This window comes from Homo sapiens, chromosome 22 (genome assembly GCF_000001405.40).
Source record: "Homo sapiens chromosome 22, GRCh38.p14 Primary Assembly".
Lineage (NCBI taxonomy): Eukaryota > Metazoa > Chordata > Mammalia > Primates > Hominidae > Homo > Homo sapiens.
Window position 1 is genome coordinate 31,043,365 of NC_000022.11, and position 2,026 is coordinate 31,045,390.

The window sequence follows — 2,026 nt, forward strand, 5'->3', positions numbered from 1 at the left end:
CTTTGAGAGGCTGAGGCGGGCAGATCACTTGAGATCAGGAGTTTGAGACCAGCCTGGCCAACATGGTGAAACCCCCATCTCTACTAAAAAATACAAAAATTAGCTGGGCGTGGTGGCACCTGCCTGTAATCTTAGCTACTTGGGAGAGTGAGGCAGGAGAATCGCTTGAACCCAGGAGGTGGAGGGTGCAGTGAGCTGAGTCCGTGTCGCTGCACTCCAGCCTGCGTGACAAAGAAAGACTCCATCCCAGAAGAAAAAAAAAGTAAAAAAAGAGATTGATGTGGGAAAAAGAATAAGACGTTAAGTGAAAAAAAGTAGAATGCCAAACAAAATATACCGTAATTCCTTTTTATGTAAAAAATAAAAACCTCCATAGGAACATGAGTACATATATCAATAAATGCAGAGAAACCTGTCTTGAAAGCTCTACCCCATACTTTTGGGAAAGGGAGCAGGAAGGGGTGGCTGGAAAGGGGGACTTCTACTTTACCGTGTAAGTTAATTCTTTGGGTAATTTTTTTAATTTAAAAAAAAAAAATCAAGCCCGAAAAAAGAAAAAGAGGCTGGGTGCCGTGGCTCATGCCTGTAATCCCAATACTCTGGAGGCCAAGATGGACAGATCACTGGAGTCCAGGAGTTCAAGACCAGCCGGGACAACATGGTGAAACCTTGTCTCTTAAAAAATAATAATAATAAAATTAAGAAAAGAAAAAAATGCAAAAGATAGCAGTAGAGACTCCATCCCCCAGCACCTTCTTTTGTAATTATTGAGCCCACGGATTTAGGGAATTGGTATTTTTAAGAAGTAAAAACGTGTGGCTGCGTCTAGACTTAGGAAGTACTTACGGAATGATCTAGTCCAGTATATTTACTCTGCAGGTGAGGAGACTGAGGCCCAGGGAGGAACTGGAGCCTGTTCAACGCCAGAGCTCATTGGGCCTGGGCTGAAGTCCAGGTCTTAGATGAAGCTCCCAGCTCTGCCCCCGCACTGCACTCTGCACAAATTGTTTCGTGTCTCCAGGAAAGGGGAGTTTATAAATTTGGCCACATTTTGGAACAACAGAGCCATAAATGGACACGACCGAGGGAGGCTGGGAGGTACCTGACCTTTGAGGCTGGGGGCGGGGATGGGAAGAGAGGACAGGGCGGGCAGGCTCAGCCACAGCCCAGATTCCTGCATCCAGGGGAAAATAACATGGAGAAAGGAGCCAGTCCAGCGGGAGGCCGAAGTGGAGCTGGTGAATGTGGAGGGCCAGGCCAACCAGGTTCAAACACCAGCCTCCGCCCCCTCCCCCACCACCTACAGACTTTGGGCAAGTGCCTTCACCTCTCTGAGCCTCAGTGGTCACCAAACCTAGTGAATAGCAACGACATCTGGCAAGTGTGTGAAAATGGCAGATGGCCAGGCCCCGACTCCAACTTACGGTGAATCAGACTCTTCTAGGATGGGGTTTGGATACTCTGATGTAGCTAGAGAACTGGAGTTCAGGAATCAGTGACATTCAGGCACTTCAAACAGGCTTTGCAAATCATTATTATTTTATAATTATTATTATTTTTGAGACGGAGTCTTGCTCTGTCCCCCAGGCTGGAGTGAGGGGCACAATCTCGGCTCACTGCAACCTCCACCTCCCAGGTTCAAGTGATTCTCCTACCTCAGCCTCCCAAGTAGCTGGGACTACAGGGACACACCACCACGCCCAGCCAATTTTTGTATTTTTAGTAGAGACAGGGTTTCACTGTGTTGCCCAGGCTGGTCTTGAACTCCTGAACTCAGGTGATCCACCTGCCTCGACCTCCCAAAGTACTAAGATTACAGGTGTAAGCCACCGTGCGTGGCAGCCGGTTTTTTTTTTTGAAACAGGGTCTCGCTTTGTCACCCAGGCTGGAGTGCAGTGGCTCAATCACACCTCTTTACAGCCTCAACCTCCCAGGCTCAAGTGGTCATCCTGCCTCAGTCTCCCCAGTAGTTAGGACTACAGGCACGCACCACCATGCCTGGCTAATTTTTTTTTTTTTTAATTAG

The 2,026-nt window shown here is 47.9% G+C and overlaps 2 annotated features.

Moving 5' to 3' along the window:
* Positions 582–1,152: an enhancer, noted in NCBI's record as "H3K4me1 hESC enhancer chr22:31439932-31440502 (GRCh37/hg19 assembly coordinates)". NCBI's record gives its function as "activates a minimal SCP1, AML or CMV promoter by ChIP-STARR-seq in naive H9 embryonic stem cells {active_cell/tissue: H9 hESC(naive)}" and the evidence as "EXISTENCE:reporter gene assay evidence [ECO:0000049][PMID:30033119]".
* Positions 1,153–1,722: an enhancer, noted in NCBI's record as "H3K4me1 hESC enhancer chr22:31440503-31441072 (GRCh37/hg19 assembly coordinates)". NCBI's record gives its function as "activates a minimal SCP1, AML or CMV promoter by ChIP-STARR-seq in naive H9 embryonic stem cells {active_cell/tissue: H9 hESC(naive)}" and the evidence as "EXISTENCE:reporter gene assay evidence [ECO:0000049][PMID:30033119]".